This window comes from Homo sapiens, chromosome 7, assembly GCF_000001405.40.
Source record: "Homo sapiens chromosome 7, GRCh38.p14 Primary Assembly".
NCBI lineage: Eukaryota > Metazoa > Chordata > Mammalia > Primates > Hominidae > Homo > Homo sapiens.
The window spans coordinates 114,280,819-114,304,688 of record NC_000007.14 but is presented as its reverse complement, the minus strand read 5'-3'; the positions used below and the strand labels follow the sequence as shown (position 1 = coordinate 114,304,688).

The following is a 23,870-nucleotide window of genomic DNA, read 5'->3' as shown; positions in this document are numbered from 1 at the left end:
TTTTTTTTTTTTTTTTTTTGAGACAGAGTCTCACTCTGTCACCTAGGCTGGAGTGCAGTTGCGCGATCTTGGCTCACTGCAACCTCCATATCCTAGGTTCAAGCAATTCTCATGTTTCAGCCTCCTGAGTAGCTGGGACTACAGGCACGCACCACCACTTCTGGCTAATTTTTGTATTTTTAGCAGAGATAATTTTGTCACGTTGGCCAGGCTGGTGTTGAACTCCTGCCCTCAAGTGATCTGCCCACCTTGGCCTCCCAAAGTGTTGGAATTACAGGCATGAGTCACCATGCCCAGCATCTATTTTAACAATATAAAAATGAAGGATAAAAATGAATGATATAATTTTTTATTAACACATTTTATTTATTCTGCATTGCTCAATGCTAGGAGTCTAGCATTGAGCCTCCTCACACTTATTTACCATTCTTCATGTGATTAGCCACTGGAGTTTAAGATGTAAAACTTGGAAACCCATATTAATTAAAGACCTTTAGAAGCTAGAGTGTTTATTTTGTTTGCTAAAGGCTACTTTCTGTGGCCACAAATACTAGGTCACTTGTAATATCACAAGCAAATAATCCTATAGTAAGAACTTTAAAATATTTCAAATAAATCCACGTACCTATTTGTTATTACAGACTACAATGTACTATGTTATCTAATTATAATTGCATTTGAATTCCTTCTGTTAAGTATTTGCCATACTTATTCTCATCAATATACTTAAAAATTATGAAATATTTCATAAAGGTATAAAGCCTGCAGCCATAAAATGTGAAATAATAAATAAGAGAATAAAACATCTCATGTTTCATTCTTAGAGCATCAGTTTATATAGTCAATGTTCTACTTTTATATACTTTGTTTAAAATTAACTTATTTTACAAATTATTCATCACAATGAGTCACAAAGTTCACAACTAACCAATAACTAAACTGTAAAGAAATGAGTTAACTTGCCCCAAAAGTTGAGATTAAAAGTATATTATCAATAAGATTTTTTAAAACCTCTAGTTTCATATTTCTAAGGCAGACAACAAATAGAAAATGGTGAGCAGATTAAGAACACAGAAGGAGTAAAACTCTGGTTCTAAAAGAGATTAACTAGGAAACAAAGGTTTAAAAATGATCTACAAAGAAAAGAGGTAAGGAAAATGGTTACTAGAGGGCATGAAAGATGAATGCTTGATGTGAAGTCATTCTCTGCTCCAGTGCTTTGGTCAAACAAGCCTTCTACTAACATCACTCAATGACTTTCAAATTCACTTTATAAGTGAAGATTTCCTTTAAAACATCATAAGTTCTTTAATAAATATCTCCTATTTCCCAAACATGTCTTAAAATTTTCCCAAATGTAAATATCATTGCCTTCAATCATACCTTTTTTTGTATGTGTAGGATTTTTCACAATCACATTGTCAAAATTCCAAACAGCTCAATTTTATCCTTCAAAAATCATTTCAAGTTCCACGTTATCTGTGACAATTACTCATTTAACAATAAGTGATATGGGGTTTTATTTCAATGATTCAAAATTGTATTAGCTACCTATTGCTGTGTAACAAATTATGACTAACTTGATGCATAATGGAACATGCATTTATTACCCTGCAATTTCTGTGACTCAGGTGTCTGGGCATAGCTTAGCTGAGTCATCTGCTCGGGCTCTCACAAGATTGCAGTTAAGGTATAAACCAGGCTGTGTTCTTTTTCTTGAGCTCAGGACCCCCTTCTAAGCTCACTTGATTGTCGGCAGAATTCATTCCTGGATTTGTAGGACCGAAATCTCCATTTTCTTTCTGGCTCTAGGCTGGGGCTCCTTTCAACTCCTGAGAGGCTGTTGACAGTTCCTTACCATGTGGCCATTTCCCAGCCTTCTCAAAAACATGGCAGCTTGCTTATTCAAGTCCAGCAGAATAATCACTTGCTCCAGTCTGCTAAGATGGAGTCTCATATATTTATGGAATGATTATTCTATCATCTGTGCCATATTCGTTAGCTAGAAACAAGTCATAGGTTCTGCCCTCACTCATTGGAAGGGAATTATACAAAGCTTTGGCTCATTATAGAGTTATCTTTCTGTGTGTCCACCACAATAATTCATAGGTTAAAATTACAGATTCTGAAACCAAACTGCTTAAGTTTAAATACTGTCTCTATTCTTACTAACTTCAAATTATGTTTCTTTATTTTAAAATGGAATAAATGATAGTATTACCTCCTCTTAAAGTTGTTGAGTATTAAATGATTTAATATTTTTTAAAGTGCTTTCAAACTGAGAAGTATGAAGCAACTAGGAACTTCCATATAGGTTTTCATTAATACATGAATATTTGTACATATATATAAATTTATAAAACCCAGTGGTTTTACCATCAAAAGTTCATATGCTGTGACTATAAAGGTGTATATGGTAATTTCTCTGAATGAATCATATTTGCACATGTGTGAGTGCATGCTCTACCAACCACTGTTATAACCTGGAGATTCCTAAAAAACATTTGAATTAGTTAACAAAGATCAAAATATGGAATTACATGTAAGACAGAAGTCAATAAATATTGTTAAGTAATCATGATAATTACAATCTAGAAGTTAAAATTCAATAAGAGTAAATTATGGGTTGACTTCTACTAATCAACAGCCTCAGGGATTTACTTCCACTTTTTATCTTTAATCATTTCTGCTTTTTATACAAATCACTAATGCTGAGCTTGTCAAATGTTGTCATATAGTGATGGGTGATACTTCTACCATTTTAATTACCTTCAATGAGCTGCCTAAAAAGTATGGCAGAAAGCCACAGAAAATTTATACAAATGCCAAGTTCTGGAAGTCAGGGGAAATACTCATGTTTAAGATGTTGACCAGCTCTTGAGATGCAAGGGAATCATTTTAGAAAGTTAATCTTTCTAAACAAACATTCTTAGAGGATTCCTCCAAGTTATGCTGCTAAGATAGGAGACTTTATTTTACAGAATTACAAAATATTATACTTAAAAGAGATCACAGACACCCAGTGCAAAATGCCCTTTTCATTTATATCATTTTCCATCAATAAATCACAGATCTGAACTTCAGAGAGATAAACACACTTGTCCAACTTTACAGATGGTAGCAGAGATGAAGAACTTAGATCTCCCGGTACCAAAACCAAAGCTCCTCAGTGAGGGGCATACCACTATTTAAGAGGAGTTTTGAAAATTATGGGGAGAATTTTTGAGTGTAACAACAATTTGAGACACTGTTAACGTGTGGACAGGAGTTATGTTTGGTAGTCATCCACAATAATGAGGAATGCCATTGCATCTTTCAAGACTTTCTCCAAATATTTGTGAAACTAAAAAACTTGTGACTAGACCTAACCTTATTTTATGTATGAAATAAAGGTATTTTTATATTCTTAATATAGAATGAACTTTCCAGGAGTTCAATGATTCTTATATCAAAGTAATATTTGTTTTGTTTCTCACTTGTCTGGTTTTCAGCGTTTTGAAAAACAGCACTAATGATGGTCTATGTATCACTCTTTTTGGCTGTTAAAATTAAGGCTATTCTGCAAGTAGGGCATTTATATGACTATTTCGTTAAGATAGGGAATATAAATTCTAATTTCAGCATATCAATCATTTACATTATATTGATTTTTGAAATAATATATCTCAAATATATATCTAAAAGTTTACCTTTCATATTAGTAAAGGGAGAATTAAAACATGGTTGTGCAAAAGGGGATTTGTATCTCATTGTCTCATGGGGCTAAGAATCACTTGGCCTAGTCAGCTCTGTCTTAGGATTAATTCTAAATTATCTCTCACAATGAAAAGGAGTGCTTTTCAGATTTTATGAAAGACAGTTTTTAAAGATAAGCCATTTAGTAGCTAACATTTACATGTTTTGAAAAGTGTACAGATACCAATGAAAAAAAACTTTCCAGGTGAAAATTCCAGTTTCTAATGATGTTGTGATTCACAACAACATTGTCTTTACAGGTATTAAAATTCTGAGCAGAAACACAAGAAAAGATATATTAAATCGTTATTACTAAGAATGCTTGAGGAATGAGGCATCTGGTTAATTATACCTATAGTAGTGTACTACTCAGAGAATTGCAACCAGTTGAGAATAAGAACTTTTTCTATTTTATTTTAATATTTTTTCTTGTTTCAGGAAAAAAATGGGTTTGATGAACAAAGTTGAAATAATATAGAAAATCATTAAATGTATAAATAGGAAAATGAAAATCTTTTATATACCTCTATCTCCCAGAAATAATCACTGATATTTTTGCAAATAATAATTTTCCAATAAATAAATACATATTTTAAGGACAAAATATGTTATTTAAATAGTGCTTCGCACCTGCATTATTCATTTATCTAAATATTATTTGTTATTCTATTGTTTTATATACTCTAACTTAACCAGTTCCCTTTCCTATGGTTATATAGATTGAATCGTCATCTGTGATGTAAGGAAATATGGAATCTATATATCTAATTGCCTAAAGTATAACAATAAGAACCAGAGAAGCAGCTATCTTCAGATAAGAAAAAGCTAGTAGCTTAAATCTCTTTTCCATTTCCTATCAAAAATCCCACCAAAAGTAAAGTTGTGTGTGTGTGTGAGTGTGTGTACGTGTGTGTGTGTGAGTGTGTGTAAGGGTAGCTGCTGGAAGAATTGGAATAAGCCTTCCTGTAAGAAAATGTCACAGAAATTGCAAGGAATATCTATGTCAACCTGAAAGTGTAAATGAGTACTGTGTAATCCTTTGATTTCCTTAAATCATTTTCAGAAGACAAAAGACAAAGAAACCACTTTTTGATTCATTTTAATAACCTTTCTGAACTCTTGGGAGATAAACTTCCATCCCTGTTTTCCCTATTAAAGCTCCTCAATCCTCTTCCCTAAACCCACCCTGCATTATGCAAATAGAAATCCCTGTAATGTGAAAGTCTGGTGAGGGTCCAACTCCTCAAATAATGATTAAAATGAGTATATTAGTTAGAATATTTATAGCTTTAAGTGACAAAAATTCTAAATCAAAATATATTAAATAGAAAGTTACCATCCCAGTTGATCAAGAGGTAGAAAGGGCTTCATGTTTAATAAATTAAACACTAAATTTATTTATTTATATAACCTTAGAGAAGTTACTTAACATTATTTAATATAAATTAAATTAATAAAAAAATATAAATAAGCCATACTGGCAAAAGAATAGGATTATCATAATTGGTTTTACCTAGTCAGGATCCACCTCTTGGAACTAGATATGGGATCAGTTTCCCATGAAGTATATGTTATGTATAGTAATAAAGTATGTCTTAATAACATCAGGGTTCTGTTAGCAAAGAAAAAAGAGAAGAAAGGATGTTGGAATGACAACTAACAGCTTCTGCTTCAAGTAGGGTGTCCATACATCTTCACCCAAGATAGTCCCAATATATACCTATTGCTTGGGGTAAATACTAACAGAATCCTTTTTACTCACAAAAGCATCTTGAATGATATATTGTATAGTTATTTACCTTGAGCAGTATATTTTTAAGATTGCAAATTAAGTTTTAGTATATTTTTGTTATAATTATGTAAGATAATTAAACCTATAGTGAAAATAAAAATAAAGTTTCAGAATGCATGTTAGCCTACTAAAATTTTAAAGTATATGAAACAATCCCTTTCAGTTGACTGAAACACTAAATACAAGTCATTATTTCTAATTTTGTACGTATGGTTCATGAGTTCTTACTAATATTTTCATACCTTACTCCACGTGCCTCTATTTGAAAGTAAAGTGACTTATTTAAAATACATTCCATAATTCAGAAGTTAACTGATTTCGACTATGTTGGCTTCCAAAAATTTAATATACAGGTGTGGAACTGCATCATAAACCTTTTTATGCTTAAATACATACTGTGTTTCAGGCCACCAGGGAAACCACATGAGAAGAGAAGTTGTTCAATTGTCCTGGGCAATAGACTACTGGAGAGATTTGAAGCTAAACTGCCTTAGTTCAAGTCTTAGTTCTGTCACACAGTAACCAGGTAACACTGGGCAAATTATTTAACTTTTCTGAGCACCACACCTTCATCTGTTAAATGAAGATTATATTGCCTTCTACCTCACAAGTATGTAACTATTAGATTGGGAATATTAAGTCAGCTAATGCTGGTGGATAACTGAGAAGAATACCTGATATTACAACATGTTGGATAGTATTATTATTGTTATTACTATTATCGTTTTTATTATTTGAAGCTCAGCGTGCTGACTGAGAGACCAGACAGTAATATCAAAGAACATACACTACTTAATACTAATAATATAAAGGAGACAATGAAGTATTTTGAAAAGGAGAATGAAGCATAAAGACAAAGCAGAAACAAGTGGCGAACAGAGAGACAGGAGAAGTCAAGGGTGAGCACAGGAAATGACTTAACAAACGCAGCTCTTCTGCTACAAGTTCTCTGATCTGCAGTTTGGCATGTTGCTACAAGTCTAGAATATATTGTTAAAGGAACTAAGCTTTGTCAGATTTCCATGTAATGCTCTCCTCATTTTGAGAAAACTTTTCCTGACACACGATTTCCTGAGGGCAAGTTCACACTCAAAACCAAAATCTCAAAAGAAATAAACGGTTGGAGTCCATAGCAAATAAGATGTACTTCTAGATAAAGGAATAGACTTTAACACTTACTGATCAATCAGAAGGAAATAAGTATAGAATATAATAATGAAGATAAGTATACAATATAACGGCACTGGAACACTAAAAATACAGCATTATTTTAAAAATATTGGGTAACTAATTATACTTTCAGCCCCACTATATGAGGAAAAACTACAATGTGACAACCTCTCTGTCAGTTCACTCACAAGGGAACATGGAGCATGTTTATTTTTATTCAGCCTCACATACTTTTGGAGACAACCCGAACCCTGAAATTGACTGAACCTCGAAACTGACTGAATCCCATGGAGGAAAAATAGTCAAAGTTATGGTCAAGAACTAAAGCAGCTCTTAACTGACAACGTTACTTTAAAAGGCAAAAAAGTGTCAAGGACTTCTTTCAGATGGCTTATTGTTCTTATGAGAATGTAATGTATCCTTTATGCCTAACTGTGACAGGGTTAGTGGAAATCATTATAAAAAATAGTTAATAGTTGTGCGAATTGATGGACTATTGGGCACTTAGAGGCAAAAAATGCATATAGTGCTTCCACTACGGCAGCCATTGAAGAGCAGCAGCCATGGCTCTGGGCTACCCCTATGACAGTGGGCCTCAACAAGGGCCACAAGGTGACCAAGAACGTGAGCAAGCCCAGGCACAGCCGCCACCACGGGCGCCTGACCAAGCACACCAAGTTTGCGTGGGACATGATTCAGAGGTGTGTGGGTTCGCCCCATAGGAGCTGCGCGCCATGGAGTCACTGAAGGTCTCCAAGGACAAACGGGCCCTCAAGTTTCATCGAGAAAAGGGTGGGGACACATCCACGCCAAGAGGAAGCAGGAGGAGCTGAGAAACGTTCTGGGCGCCATGAGGAAAGTCGCTGCCAAGAAAGACTGAGCCCCCTGCCCTGCCCTCTCCCTGAAATAAAGGGCAGCTTGACAGGAAAAAAAAAAATGCATATAGTGGATATAACTAAAAAGTAAGCATAAATCATCACCTGTGAAACAAATGAAATGTTTTAGCAAAATTTTTAAAAAATTAACTATACACATTTAAGAGGGGCACAGATAGAAATTATCTTAAATTTGGAGAAACTACAAGATAAATTATAAGAGAAAGATTAATGTGACAGAATCTTTATAAGGTTGAAGAGAGATACTGCCTTTAATCAGCAAGTTCAGAAATTTTCTTATAAAATTCTTTTATTGATCTGTCCTCTATAAATGTTTACTTTTCATCTGACCTAGCAATCATATAAGAGATCTTCATTTCTCTGCATCAGATGTTCAAAATATCTTCATGCAAGGGCTCAGATCTTTGTATTTCACAAATCATATGTGTCAATATATGTTATTGCGGCATTATATGCTATTGTAAGTTCACAGGATTCAAGATGCTAAGGTCACTCTAACATTTTTCTTCCTTCCCCTAATTATTTCACATGATATGTAAAACACATATATTGTAATTATTCTTTGACTAAACCTAACAGTCTTATTCAAAAAGAAAAAAAAAACTCCACAGGATACTTTTCAGAAAAGGTTGTTCTTATGTGAACACATAATCTTGATTAGTGAATAAAATGCTCAAAATTAATACTATCTTTGGGTAAGCTAAGGTTTACTGCTATTTTCCAAACTTAGGATTCTAAAGTGTACTCTGGCAAATCCATTCATTTGTGTTGTTTATTAAATTATCTGAGACTACTGATTCATACACTTAAGTGTCACAAAAAGAGAAAGAAAAAAAAATCATCACAATATTGTAGTCCCAAAAGTTTTTATTCATATTACTCTCTTGGAGAGAACCCATTGTTTAACACCAAAAATAACATGGCAGTTGAGAATTATATTTAACATTTAATTGTACTGAAAAACCTAAATATTTTAGGTCTAACATATCAAGAATATTTACCCCTTAATATACTGAAGATAAAAAGTATTCTGTTTCACTGCTTTGCTTTCTTTATGGGCTTAAACCTGGCAAATTATTCCATTTGATTTCAGAGAATTCTCCTATGGCAATCTATTTTATTTACTTTATCTTCAATAAAATGGTTCAGTGAGCATTAGCAACTCCGAGACACAAGTTTCAATCAGTCTTCAGGCAAAGGAGTCAATCTAAATTAGACCTACTGTGCTGTGAGCTGCAGCTAAAAAGTTGGAATAAGGCAAAGCAACAGTGAAAATGTGAGCCAAGCCTAATAAAGGCCACAGAAAAGAGAAAGAAAGCTCTCCCCAGGCTCTCACATGCATTGCTTATACAATACCAGGTGCCAGGTTCAACACATGAAGAGCTCCTTAATAAGGCTGACAGCTAAAAGGAGGCTTCAGACTATAACTTCATTTTACATGACACCTACAGTAATAGTCCTCTGTTCTCTGGCAGACAATAGTAAAAACTCAAATTGCCAACAGTTTAAAATGAGGTTTCATAGTCATCCCTTGGATATCATATAGGGGAAAAAAACGAAAACATTCAAGCTGCATGGTATCTCTTCTACAGCATTTTCATACAATTACTAATGTAACAGTAGTTTCAGTGAACCTTTCCTTACAAATTTGTATGACATTTTAAATATAGCTGCTGGATTAGATTTTAACCACAAAACAATCAGTAAGTTTGAGCAACAACTCATTTTGGAAAATGATATCATTAAAGACTAATTCCAAGAAATGTGGGGTAGTACTGTTAGATGCCATGAAAATGTCTCCCAAAGCACAAACTTTGTAATAAGTGATGCTGGTTCATACTTGATATGGGCTGTAAAAAGCAGATTATTGTAATGGTGCACTTCCCAGCAAATAAGACCATTAAAAGGGTACTTAATGTTCAGTTGAATTGAAAAGCAGGCCAGTTAAAATCCATATTTTCTATTTTGTATAATGATATCAAAAATTTTACTAGCGGATAGTTCCAAGCCACAAGTTTAAAACTATAAACATAAACTCTCATTTAAAAATATGAACAAGTTATCGTTTTCTTTTTTTAATATAGTGCATTATGTTTGTCCAAATTCTATCATCACATCAATAGGAATGAAATTTGGAATTATGGTTTAATGAGAATTTATGTATGTATGTATGTATGTATGTATATATGCATGCATGCATGTATGTATGTATGTATGTATGTATGTATGTATTTATTTATTTATTTATTTATTTTGAGGCAGTGTCTCCTTCTGTTGCCCAGGCTGGAATGCGGTGGCACAATCCCAGCTCACTGCAACCTCCGCCTCCCGGGTTCAAGTGATTCTCCTGCCTCAGCCTCCTGAGTAGCTGGGATTACAGGCGTCCACCATCATGCCCAGCTGATTTTTGTATTTTCAGTAAAGACGGAGTTTCACCATGTTGGTCAGGCTGGTCTCTAACTCCTGATCTCAGGTGATCCCCCTGCCTCAGCCTCTGAAAGTGATGGGATTACAGGTGTAAGCCACCACACCCAGCTGAGAATTTATTTTTTTTAAATGTTGTTCTATTACTTGCTGATACATACTTTTCAATTCACTTTTCTGGAAACCAAACGTATTATTTTTCTAGTGAGCTCAATGCTTCAAAGTACAGCACTCCAAATATGTGTACACATATCTAGATACTTCCGTGTGACTCTAGTATTTACACCTCCATAAAGGGCATTAAAAGATAGCAGAAAACTATCAGGATAGATTAGTAGAAGAGATACTGCAAGCCCAGATCCTGTTAGCATATGGGTATTTATTCCAAGCAGCTCTTCTACAAAGAATGAGTATCAGACCAGCATGCAGACGTACGCAGTCATGAGTAAGCACAACTCTCCAACATTGATATGATCAATGGGCAAGATATTAAAAGCAGCTTCTGCATGTTGCAAAATCAGTATTCCAGGTGAATCTAAACATTTCACATTTTCTTTCCATTTGGCTATCTTGTAAATATACATACCTATCTCTTCTATTACATATGCCTGAGAGACATCATATTTCATAGACTGTTAATCTTTATATTCCCCTCAAAGTCAAGGGCAGTGCTGAAATTTGTGCATATAATTTTAGGGCTGAAATATTATATAATGTATTAATTATCTATGAGTGCATAAAAATTACCACCCAAACTTAGCAGTTTAGAACAAAACCATTTATTATCTTGTATGAGTCTGTTCTCACGCTCCTATGAAGAAATACCTCAAACTGGGTAATTTATAAAGTAAACAGGTTTAATTGACTCACAGTTCCACATGGCTGGGGAGGCCTCAGGAAACTTACAATAGTGGCAGAAGGCACTTCTTCTGAAGACAGGGTGGTAGGAGAGAGAATGAGTGCCTAGTGAAGGGGGAAGCCCCCCATACAGCCACCAGATCTCCTGAGAACTCACTATCACAAGAACAGGATGGGGGAACTGCCCCATGATTCACTTATCTCCACCTGGTCCCTCCCACAACAAGTGGGGATTATGAAAACTGCAATTCAAGATGAGATCTGGGTGCTGACACAGCCAAATTATATCATATCTCAAATAGTTACTGAGGCTCAGGAATCAAGGGGTGGTTTAGCTGGGTGGCTTAGACTCAGAGTCTTTCAGGAAGTTGCACATTGTTTGTGGGCTCCTTCCTGGCTGTTTGCTAAAGGGCTTAGTTCCTCACTATGAATACCTCTCCATGGCAGCCAGCCTCCCCCAGAGCAAGTCATTTGAAAGAATGGGAGAGACAGAAACAGAGACAAAGATAAGAGACAGAAACAGAGAGAGATAGAGGCAAGAGAGAGGGAGAAAGAAAGGAAACTCAAAACATATGTCTTAATATCATGCATAACCTAATCAGAAAAGCAACATACCAGCAAACAGAACTTGTGCCGTATTCTATTGATGACATAGGCCAACCCTGGTAAATATGGGGGAAAAAATATAATGGAGTGAAAACCAGAAAATGGGGACCATCTTAGAGGCTGCCTACCACAGCTATCCCTCTGGACTCCAGTGATTCGTGTTTTTCCCATATGTAATTGGTTTCAAAGGTGTAAGTTGTAATGGATTCTCACAAGTAACTTAAGGGTTATTCGAGGTATATATTTCAAATTACTGAGCCAATATACGAATGAATAACTTATAAAGAACATCTTCTGAAATATGACTGTCAAAATGAATACTGGCTGTTAGACCACTGTTCTAAATCAAGAAGGTGTTTTACATATTCAGTGAATATTTCTAAAGATACTATTATATGCAACATTGTAAGAAACACACAAATGAGCAACATTCTGTGATCTCTATGGATAGCAGGGGAATGAGATTAATGATCACATGTTTGCAACATCCGATTGACTATGATAGGGTAAGATACTATGCAGAAAAAGTCCTAGGCTAGCTAAAAAGGAGGTAAGAAATAAGAAAAATATAGTGGAAAAGGTAGAAATTTAAATGTGCTTTAAAAAGATAAAGAATGGGACAGAAACAATGAGAAAGATGTACATTGACAAAGATGTAGGCAAGAAAGCGTAAAACATGTAGTTAAAGGTATACATATCAGAGTAAAGAGAAAAGGTAAGATATTTGGGTTTTGCCACATTCTGGAGTGTACTAAATACCACACTAGGCTGTAATTAGTCTGGTGGTTTTAGCCAGCTTGAAGCAATGGATGAATTTTAGGCAAAGAGGAATAGTCTGCTGGGAACTGTACTGTAAGAAAACTCTATGAAAATAAAATTTTACATGTTTCAACAATATTCTTATTATTAACTATAACATAATTATAAAACGTTAAAGTAACATATTTCATGAATTTTAAGTTTAACATGCTTTGGCAGACAGTCTCTAGAGTGGCCCCCAAGTTCATGCCCTGTAAAATTCCTTCCCCTTGAGTGTGGGCAGGACCTGTGACTTGATTCCAGCCAACAGAACATGGCAAAGGTTGTGTATTGTCACTCTGATGATTATTTTAAAATACATACATACATTATACACATACATATATGCACACACATCCATATATACACACATATATGTGTATGTGTTTTAATGTTATATCTATATATTATCTATAATATATATTCTATATATTATCTATAATATATATTCTATATATTATCTATAATATATATTCTATATATTATCTATAATATATATTCTATATATTATCTATAATATATATTCTATATATTATCTATATATTATATATAAAATGTTATATATATATAAAACATTATATATGTATTATATATAGATTCCATTTTGCTAGCTCTCCTGCTGGCTTTAAAGTAGCAAGACTGCTATTTGTAAACTGTGTATGGAGAGTGCCACATGGGAGGAACTGTAGGTGGAATTTAGAGGCTAAGGATCTCAGTCCTAAAACTGCAGTGGACTGAATTCAGCCAAAAACCCGTGAGTTTGGAAGAGGACCCTGAGCTCTAAATGAAAATGCAACCTGGCTGACATTTTGATTGCAGCCTTTTAAGACCCTAAGCTAAACTGTGCCTGGACTCCTTACCCACAGAAATTGTGAGATGATACATGTATGTTGTTTTAAGCTTCTACATATATGAAAATTCATCATATGGTAATAGAAAACTAATACACATTCTAACCAAACACAGAGAGCACAGGTACATAATGCAATACACTGAATATTTGTGTTGTCCCCAAATTCCTATGTTAAAATCCTACCCCGCAATGTGATGGTACTAGGAGGTAGAACCTTTGGTAGGTAGTTAGGCCATGAAGATGGAGCCCTCATGAATGTGATTAGTGCCCTTTTTATAAAAGGAACCCCAGAGAGTTCTCTCATCCCCTTTCTGCCATGTGAGGACACGAGAAAGAAGATGGCAGTCTATAACCTGAAAGAAGGCCCTCACCAGAGGTTGACACCCTGAACTTAATCTTCCAGCACCCATTACTGTGAGAAATTAAATTTCTGTTTATAATCCATTCAGTCTATGGTACTTTGTTATAACAGCATAAAATAACTAAGATACAGAATTAACTCATATTTAGCATTTCTTGTAAGACCCATGATTAGACATAAATTAGATTATCCTATACAGGGTATTTTCCATGTGGCCTGAATAATACAGTCAACGATTGAAATGAATATAATGGAAAATAAAATAATACTGACTTTTTAAATGTTCATTATGCCCTTTTTATGTGTTCACACAATTAATCCTCAATTCAACTGTATTAAATACGAACTGTTATCTCTATTCTCTAGATTGACAAATTAAGCGTAAAAGAGCCTTGGTGATTTGTTCAAGGTTTCATATAAGGTAGGTTTGTATTGGAACTATCATTCAAACCCAGGCAATCTGATTTCCAACCTTGCATTCTCAATAGCTCCACTCTAAACCCTCTATTTGCAGTCTTGCTCACTCTGTTTCCTTTTGACAATGAATGTCAGTACACTATCTGTCTGAACTGCTGACCCAACACCCTGTCTGCCAAACCAGCTTCCTACATAGTCCATTTACTTTTTAATAATTTCAAAAATAGAGCAAATATTTTTCATATGATACCTAATCTTTAATAAGTATTTATGAAATTTATAGCAATTTTCTATAAATATATGAATGAAAATTATTTCTACTGAATTAACTAAAACTGATATTTCATTTGAGCTTAATAGTCTTGCAGTGGAAACTCTGAAAATAACTGAATATCTTGAAGTAAAACACATCCACCCACATGCCTAACTATGCATTTACCCACATATACAAATAATCTCAGTTATAAGTTGTATGAAACATTTTAGTTCCCATGTTATAAGTATTATGTAGGGCAGGTTATTTAACTTCTTTGAGAGGTGAAATGGAGATAAAACTAAAAAAAAAATTGTTTGAAAATAGGAGGTTTGAACCAAGTTCCATTTAGTGGATTTTCTAGGGGGAAGGGAGCAGAGAAGAAAAAATCCAGTATTTTTTGAAAATAGCTATGTACCAAGTGCTAAATTTTCACAAGAATACAATAAACAGATCTATCAGTCCCCTATTTTACTCTTTGAGAGCTGAGAAGCAAAAATTAACAGAGGTTAATTTAAAAAGCCAAAAAATAGCAACAAGGATGCAAACTCCTATCAACCTGACCCCAAAATCTTTGCTTCTCCAACATTTTCTTCCTCCCTTATAATCATACTTCCAGCTCAAGGGTTCAAAATTCTATACATTTACAAGAAAAAATAATGCTTTTTCAGAATTCACTTTCCCATTAGGATGAACCTTTGGCATTATGCATATTCATTATTTACACCAATATGTGGTTAGTGTTTGTTTAAAAATATTTAAAAACTGCCACTATAAGCACATAACTACCAAAAGTCTAAGTAGCACATTCCAAAATCAGTTTGAGGACTAACTTCAAGTGCAATTATATTCTCTTCTAGGAATTCTCTACTTTTAAAAAATAGTTTCTTTCATGATTCCATGATTCATTCTTTCCTGGTTCATTGTTAGATCATTCCTGCTTATTATAAATCTAAACTCCATCTGCTATGATACAAATAAACATCCTGTTACTCAAAAGTAATAACTTATATATCAAAAGGCTATATAAAGATAGAGTATATTGGTATAACCATTATCTATGGCAAACATACAAATAATGTCCCCACTCACCACAAAAAAGACTGAGTGTTAGCAGACATGTGTTCTATCTCTAATTGTTTATTACTAGCTATAAAATCACAACAAGCTACATAACTTTTTCCAGATCATTTTAATTACTTGTCTTTGTTTCTCCACTTATCAAAGAATAATAATGTCAACCTTACTTACATCATAAATTAAGAGTAAAATGAAGTAAAAGGTTGCCAAAGGGCTTTGAAAATCTTAAATGTTAGATAAATGTGGGATCATTTTAATGTCTATCTGGTAAAATACTAAAACTGGTAAGAAATGAACCAAAAAACAATCCATAGGCCAAACAGAAGGTAAAATACCTGGGAAATATTTAACTGTATAATTAAAGAACATTGACAAAAATCTCTCAGAGAAATTACGAAGTGTATCTTGAGAGAGTTGTAGAAATTGCTAGAGAAATTTAGGTAGAAAGTGAAGATCCTGAGGCCTATACTATGCTCATGGTGAAACTCTTAATGAAGAATTCTGAAGAAGCCCGGGCATTTTGGTTTCCCTCTCTCTTGAGGTAAAGATTGGGGAAAGAAATGATATAAACTACTAGGAAGCTTTGAAATACAAACTCTGCCTAAAATTGCTTTTAGGTTTCCTTTAAAATTATATTATTCTAAATTTGGATACTCATGACAAACCGTTTGATTGATATTACAGTTCAACAGTGAAACTGAAAATCCAATTTTACATAAATATTATATATTGAGAAAGTTTATATGTTAACATTGTACATATCAAAGAAAACTATCATGAGATTTAAAGATACTCAACATTAAAAAAGAAAACAAATCTTTCAAAATAGCTGACTGGATCTCAAAAATTGTATTAGAAAAATCAAATTTTCTAGAAAAAAATTCATTACTGGTATATTATTCTCATTATTTCCTCAATATTTCAGATCCCCCCAAAACTTCAATACCAAATGAACTTTTAAAAAATAATACTGAAAAGACCAGCATAATAAAAGGCAAGTACAATGGTAACAAGATTCTCCAAGTGCTTTCCTTGCCTAATAATTTACTTTTAATATTTCAAACCAAATTCATATTCCCCATAAGTGTATACTGGTTTTAAAAAGTGATACCAAGTTTAATAGAAAGAGAGCAGCAAGCAGTGAAATGGGAATCCCAATAGCAGTGATTAATATTTCTACTGCCACACTTAACATGTCTCAATTGTCCGCTGAAAACAACTTCTTAACATTTGGGCAAACATATTTAACCAAAAAAACTAAAGAGTAAAATCAGCATTAGAAAAATAAAAATAAGCACAATGACCAAAGGAGAATTTTTACCAAAAGGACACTTACCTGTTTCTTCCAGATCTTCCACAAGACTTTCGAATTAACCTTGAAACGGAGTCCTAGGAAAATTCAATCCCAGCATCACATTAGAGTAGACCTGTTAATAGAGACAAATAATTGTCACTGCTTAGAAAATTAAATTTAAATTTACATCACAATTAGTGCAGTGACTTCACAGAACATAAAACATATTCATCCTTTAAAATAAAAATTGTTAATGTTAACATGCATTACTTTGTGAATATTCAAATACACATAAAAATGCTTTTTCTACATTTTAATTTAGAGAACTTTCAAGACATTGTTTGGTATAAAGCAAAGGCCACGGAGACAGCATAAGATGCACTTCCAAGAGATGGAGATTTTGTTTCCCACTCTCATTGATTTGGCAAGTTTAAACTTTTCAGTGATTAACTTTTATAATTTACAGAAAAAATTATTTGCGTCTCCAATTTCTTAACTGAAAACATAACTGATTTCAATTGCCTCTTCAACACATACTTAATGAGCTTTGTAGGATTTTCCACAATTAACAAATTGGTAGTAAGCATTTACTCCTCATAATCACAATGTAAGGATCATTATTTAAATGCTTATTTAAGTTTGTATTTCCCAGATCCATTTCCGATTCAACTACTCTCGTTTTCTAGTTTCTTCCTTCTTTAATCTGAGAGATTTAGCTCACACCTTTCTTAGACTAAAATATGTTAAATGTATTGAAGGTCCACTAAAATTATAGAACTTAGTACTATATAGCTCAGTCTTGTCCAACTCGTGGCCAGGACGGCTTTGAATGCAGCCCAACACAAATTTGTAAAGTTTCTTAAAACATTATGAGACTTTTTGCAGTTTTTTTTTTCTTTTTTAGTTCATCAGCTATCGTTAGTGTTAGTGTATTTTATGTGTGGCCCAAGACAATTCTTCTTCTTCCAATGTGGCCCAGGGAAGCCAAAAGATTGGATACCCCTGTTATAGATAGTAAATGGGTTTTGACTCACATAACACTCTGATTGATCGGTAGTGACTAAATGGAGAGCTGTATGGAGAGTAAATCTGAATCTGCCACAGGAAGTTCTGTGTTCAATTAGCAATGTCTGCCATAGGCATTGAAAAGGATGACTGGCATCACTTGCCATCTTTGTTGAACATTTAGACATTTCACTAATTGTATTGAAATCATTTCTAAACACTTTTAAGCTAAAGAACCCTTTCTTGCAATAAAACCTTAGTCCAGGGCCAATTAACAATCACGTATTCTGGTTGAATCCCACCTCCAAATACTCAGTGCCACCATTACTCCTTTCCTTGGGTACTTTTGGTGTTCACAAAGCATTAGGTATTCTACAGAGCATAATCCGAAACCACTGTTTAGTGAATTGTAAGTATTAAGGTAACTCAAAGTCATAAACATTAAGGTAATTGGAATTCCTGTTCTTCATATTCCTTTTATTCTTTCTCTATTGGTTCTGTTGTCCACATTTCTCTTAACAATAAAATTTTCTACATTAGCAGGCCCCACTCTTGGCTTTCCTTATGTTAATTTTTCTTCCACAATTATACTCTGCCTAATATATGCCACCAAAAGAAGTGGATTTCTTTAGTATAAGTCTAAATTATTTCATAATTTTATATTGACTTATTTTCCCTTGCCAATATTCATAGGGAAACTTCTCCAACTTTTTCTAAATCAGTCTATAAATTCTAGATTTTTAAAAGAAAATCCACAAACTCATTTTTAAACCCATTTAAAAGCATATGCTATAAAAGGTCTATTAATATCAAAGTAAAGTTCAAAAATGAAGGGCAAAGAGAGAAAACCTACTCTATAAAATATTAACATGTACTAAAAAGCCCAGTACAGCTGCAGGCACATAGAGTTCATATATACATATATATAACAGCTCATACATACATGAGAGTGTTATATATAATAACATCACAAAGTAAAAGAAAATACTGGTGTTGGCTTACTGTATAGAGCAAAAACTGATCTAAGAATCGGGCAGAAAGTAAAGTGGGCACCTTATCACACCATATAGAAATTTGAATTTCTGAGAGATTAAAGAAGTTATTAAGAAAAAAAATTAGGCAAATATTTTTGAGACACACATGTAACAACTTTCTGAAACATGGCCTAAAAAGCATAAATGATAAGACATAAAATTAATTGATTTTGCTAAAAAAATGAAAATTTTCAGTTAAGGATACCATAGATAATTTCATAGGTAAACTGAGAGAACACCTAAAACCAATGAGGAATTAATACTGGTTAACATATACTTATATATTCAGAGGAAACCAATAGAAAAATGAGCAAAGAACCTTGAAAAGGAAATGTTCAGAAGCAGAAGCCCATACTGTTTAAAACTCATAAAATCACTAGCAATCAGGAAGATGCAAATTAAAAAACCAATGAGATACCACTTTATGTCATCAGAAGAGCATGAATTTGAATGAATTCTGCGCAGTGTTGATAAGAATATAGAAAGATGAGAACTCTTGTTTACTGCTAACAAAAGCATAAATTATAAAGTTATTCTTCAAAACAATTTGGAAGACCTAACATGTCTATGTTCTTTATGCTCTCAAAGCACCCTATGGGCACCTCTACTGTAAAATATATTAGCTTAAATCTCATGTCATGTTCTTATTTACATACCTTTCTCTCCCACAAACTTCTCCATTTTCTTTACTCAAAACTCCTGTTGAAACTGATAAATGAAGAAATAGCAATAAGCATATTATTTAGGTAATAGAAGTAAATACCAGAAGCACATTGCCACTGTGTAGCTGAAGTAGGTAGTGAGAAAATACAAGCCACAGGGCTGCTATTTTTCATTTTAATAATCCCTATATTCCATTTGATTTTTTAACTCTGTGCCTGTATTTCTTGAAGAAAGTCACATACCAAAAAAACCCAAAAAACTAATTTTATTATTTATTTTTTAAACTTTAAGTTCAGGGGTACAGTGCAGGTAATTTCATGCCACAGGGACTTCTTATACAGACTATTTTGTCATGCAGGTATTGAGCCTAGTACACTTTAGTTATTTTTTCTAATCCTCCCCCTCCTCCCACCCTCAACCCTTTGGTAGGCCGCAGTATCTGTTGTTCCCCTTTATGCGTCTATGTGTTCTCATCATTTAGCTCCCATTCGTAAGTGTAAGTATGCAGTATTTGCTTTTCTGTTCCTGCATTAGTTTGCTAAGGATAATGGCCTCCAGTTCCATCCCTGTTCCTGCAAAGTATATCACCTCATTTCTTTTTATGACTGCATAGTATTCCATGGTCTACTGTTGATGAGCGTTTAGGTTGACTCCATGTTTTGCTATTGTGAATAGTGCTACAAGGAACATATGTGAGCATGTGTCTTTACGACAGAACAATTTATATTCCTTTGGGTATACACCCAGTAACAGGATTGCTGTGTTGAATGGTAGTTCTGTTTTTAGGTCTTTACAGAATAGCCACAGTTTTCTATAATGGTTGAACTAATTTACACTTCCACCAACAACGTATAAGCATTCCTTTTTTTCCATAGCATAGATTATGGTGCACAGTGATCATAATAATCAGAACCAAATGTTCACTTAATGATATATAGAAAACTCTTATTTTAGAAACCTAAAGCCATAAAAAGAAAATAAGATAATTTGAAGGAGACAGAAACTGAACTAGAGAGGCTAACTAGAGTTCTCTTATATACACACATTCACACACATTATTTGTTGCAACTATATGTCACACACTGTCCTGGTTCTGGGTTAAAATCACAACTCTGCTCTTATGGAATATGCAATATGGTTAGGAATATGTAAGGGATGGGCTTTTTTTTTTTTAACAATGTGCTGAGAGACAGGGTATATACAGGAGCAGCACCCAGTTGAAGCTTAGGCAGTCAGATAACTCTGCCTGAGTGAAAGGATCCGTGTGCCATTCATGTATAGAAACATTCCCTTTTCTAATTTCTTCTAGCCTTTTAAATTGGATTACAAATTTGTTGAGGTATGCTGTGGCAGGCAAAAGAACATCACTCAGACATTCCCAGACCATTTGACCTATCTTCTGTAAGGAATTATATTAGATAAAGTGAATAATTAGTAGAAGATTTATTAGTTTTTTTATGTGTTTTGTTTTGTTTTGCTCTTCTTTTTAGATAGGGTCTTGCTCAGTCACCAAGGTTAGAGTGCAGTGGTGCGATTGTAGCTCATTACAGTCTCCAATTCCCAGGCTCAAGCTATTCTCCCACCTCAGCCCCCACAAGTAGCTGGGACTCCGGGTGTGAGCCACACACCTGAGTAATTTTTTCACTTTTTGTAGAGTCAGAGTCTCCCTATGTTGCCCAAGCTGGTTTCGACCTCCTGGGCTCAAGCAATCCTCTCATATTAGCCTCCCAAAGTGCTGGGATTGCAGGCATGAGCCAACTATGCCCAGCCTAGGTGATTTATTTTTGTTTAATTTTAATTTTTTTCTAGTAATTTATTTATAGAAAAGAGATTTAGTCTTCTAATCAGCTACTTGGAACTCTTTGTTAATATTTTCTACTCTATTGTCTTCTAATTAATAAAAATGAAGATGAATCCTAAAAGAAATACTGTCATTTAATTGTTTTCTAAATGAAAAGGAAAACATTACATCATATAAAGCTTAAGGATAAAACAAGTGTCTTTTGAATTCTACTGCTGAATATCATAATACAAAATCCTTAGCCTGGTGAATTTCATGATTTGGAAGAATATATTATAAATTAGGAGTAAAGAAATAAAATACATGTGTTATATAGTTCTTGATGTGTAACTGATGTTCAACAGAAAAATTATACTAACATTTTAAATACTGTTTTAATATTGTATAGCACATGGTTTCCTGAATAATGGTGAGAACTAAGGATTATTTAATTTTCTCAAAACAGGGTAGTTAACTATAGCCAAACAAGAGAAAGTAGATAATTGTTGATTGGCTATGAAGGCTGATATTATAACCAACATTTCAGTGAAGAGAAAATCAACAACCAAATTCTGTCAAGGCAACAAACTCACAAGTTTAATTCACAAATTAATAACAAATTTAACTGTTTGGTAATGGTGATGTATGCTAACGGAATTTTAAAAAAGTAATCATAGGCTTCTGAGGAATATGGTAAGATTTCTCAGGAGGCAGCAGTGCCTACATTATTCCTACTAAAATTTACAAAGAGCTCAGAAGGCACTATGTAGCAGACATTTTCTTTTTTGTATTAGCATGAAAGAAACATCATATTACTATCATTTGTACAGATGTTGCAAACAGAAAAAATAAATAGCTAAAATGTTTAAAAGCTACTTCTGCAAAGGCTAAATGCTGTAAAACTGCCACCAGAGATACACAGTGCCCATTATAATTACCATCCCACTTTGATTAAAGCAGTTTAAACTCCACAAGGACATGGATGTTTGTCTGTTTAATTTATTTATTAATCCTATGAACCTAGAATACTCCCTGGCACATAGTAGTCACACAATAAATATTTCTTGAATGAATGTATTAATCTGTAGACTAAAAAACATAAAACTAGACAGGCATGGGAATTTAAAAATGAAATTTTAGGTAGAATAGATAGTAAGATATAAACCAGGACAGAGATATCCTTAAGTAATCCTAGTTCAAAATTTAATTCAATGATTGTTCAAAGGAGGGAATAAAGGAATGCTCTGTCCCACTGCCTTAATTTAATGTGGAGCAAAATCAATTATATTTTGGAACTTCAAAAAAACATTATTGAGGTCATAAATTTTGGAGTTAAGTATGTAATATTGTTTAAAGTTCAAAAACTAGTGATTTAAACTATACCTTAATAAAACATAATTTGTAGTTTTGATAGTTAATACTAGAACTCCACTGTAGTGAAGACTGCATATGATGCAAAGCTATGACGCAGATCTAAACATATATACATAAATACTAATTATAGCTAATCTACAACAGATTTATTCCATGAGTTTCTCAAATTATCCTTCTAATATCTTTGTAGAGTACTGAGGTAAAAGGAGATTCTTGAAAATTGCTAAGCATAGGTACTTTAATTACCACTGAGAACTTAAATTTGCTCTCTTTGAGCCACATTGAGTGAAACATGTAAGCATTATCTGTACAGAGTGGGGCCTATGTAAGCTTTATTCTTGCCTGACTGACCTACCCCTCAGTTAACAGTACCTGGATCTAAGAAAGTGGAGCCAATGATCCTTCAAGACTCTACCACATCCTAATAAATCCATTAAGAAGATACATTCACAGAAATAGAGATGAAATAAAACTGTACCTTGAAAAAAATTGGAGCCACAATGAAAATTAACCCTGCTGACATTATGGGTACAGTTTGAAACATATTTATTCAAGAATAGGACAATTGTGTTTTCAGTCAGTTTTATATTTATAAATTTCTTTCTAGCTTCAAGTTGGAAATACTTAAATATATATATTTTATTGGCAGATAATGTTCTGTCAGATAATGTAAAAATCAAAAATTAATCAATAAGCAGGCTAGTAAGAGTAATAGTAAAATGGAAGTTAGCAAGCAATCATCAAAGAAAAGTCTAATGCTGGGACAGTTAGTTGTAGGTTTCTGCCTTCTTGGATTTTACTCAGAGCAAAAGTAAGAGCTCCCTGATGGAACTGTTTAAAAATGCAATATCATATTTACACAAAACAGGTAAAAATACTTTAAAATCAAATTTCAGGCCAGGCACGGTGGCTCATGCCTGTAATCCCAGACTTTGGGAGGCCAAGGAGGGTGGATCACTTGAGGTCAGGAGTTTGAAATCAGCCTGGCCAACATGGTGAAACTCCGTCTCTAATAAAAATACAAAAATTAGCCGGGCATGGTAGCAGGCACCTGTAATGCCAGCTACTTGGGAGGCTGAGGCATGAGCATTGCTTAAACCCGGGAGGGGGAGGTTGCAGTGAGCCGAAATTACGCCATGGCACTGCAGTCTCAGCGACAGAGTGAGACTCTGTCTCAAAAAAAAAAAAAAAAAAAAAAAATTCAAATTGCATAAAAAGCCTTTCTCACCTTCAGTCATTGCAATTACTAAACATCTGTTATATACCAAGTTTATGATCTGCTAGAGAGACAGAGATAAAAGACACCCTAAGTGTTGACTATGCTTAAGGACAGGTTAAGCATGTAGTAAGTATGCTTTTAAGTGAATGATATTTTCCAAGGACAAGGATAGATCATAAGTTAAAATGTGATATCATGTAAGCAAAAGTAAGCACAGGGTAATACCAACTATAACAGCAATTTGTCCTGGGAAAATAA

General features: G+C 33.8%; 1 protein-coding gene and 1 pseudogene across 1 annotated transcript in view; one reads left to right on the top strand and one right to left on the bottom strand.

The window, feature by feature from the left end:
- Nucleotides 1-23,870, bottom strand: part of FOXP2 (forkhead box P2) — a 607,439-nt gene that overhangs the window by 389,077 nt on the left and 194,492 nt on the right. Inside the window, exon 2 of the transcript NR_033766.2 lies at nucleotides 16,580-16,670. The gene's annotated coding sequence lies outside the window, so the exon portion shown is untranslated. The remainder of the gene's footprint in view (nucleotides 1-16,579; nucleotides 16,671-23,870) is intronic.
- RPL36P13 (ribosomal protein L36 pseudogene 13) lies at nucleotides 7,227-7,622 on the top strand (annotated as a pseudogene).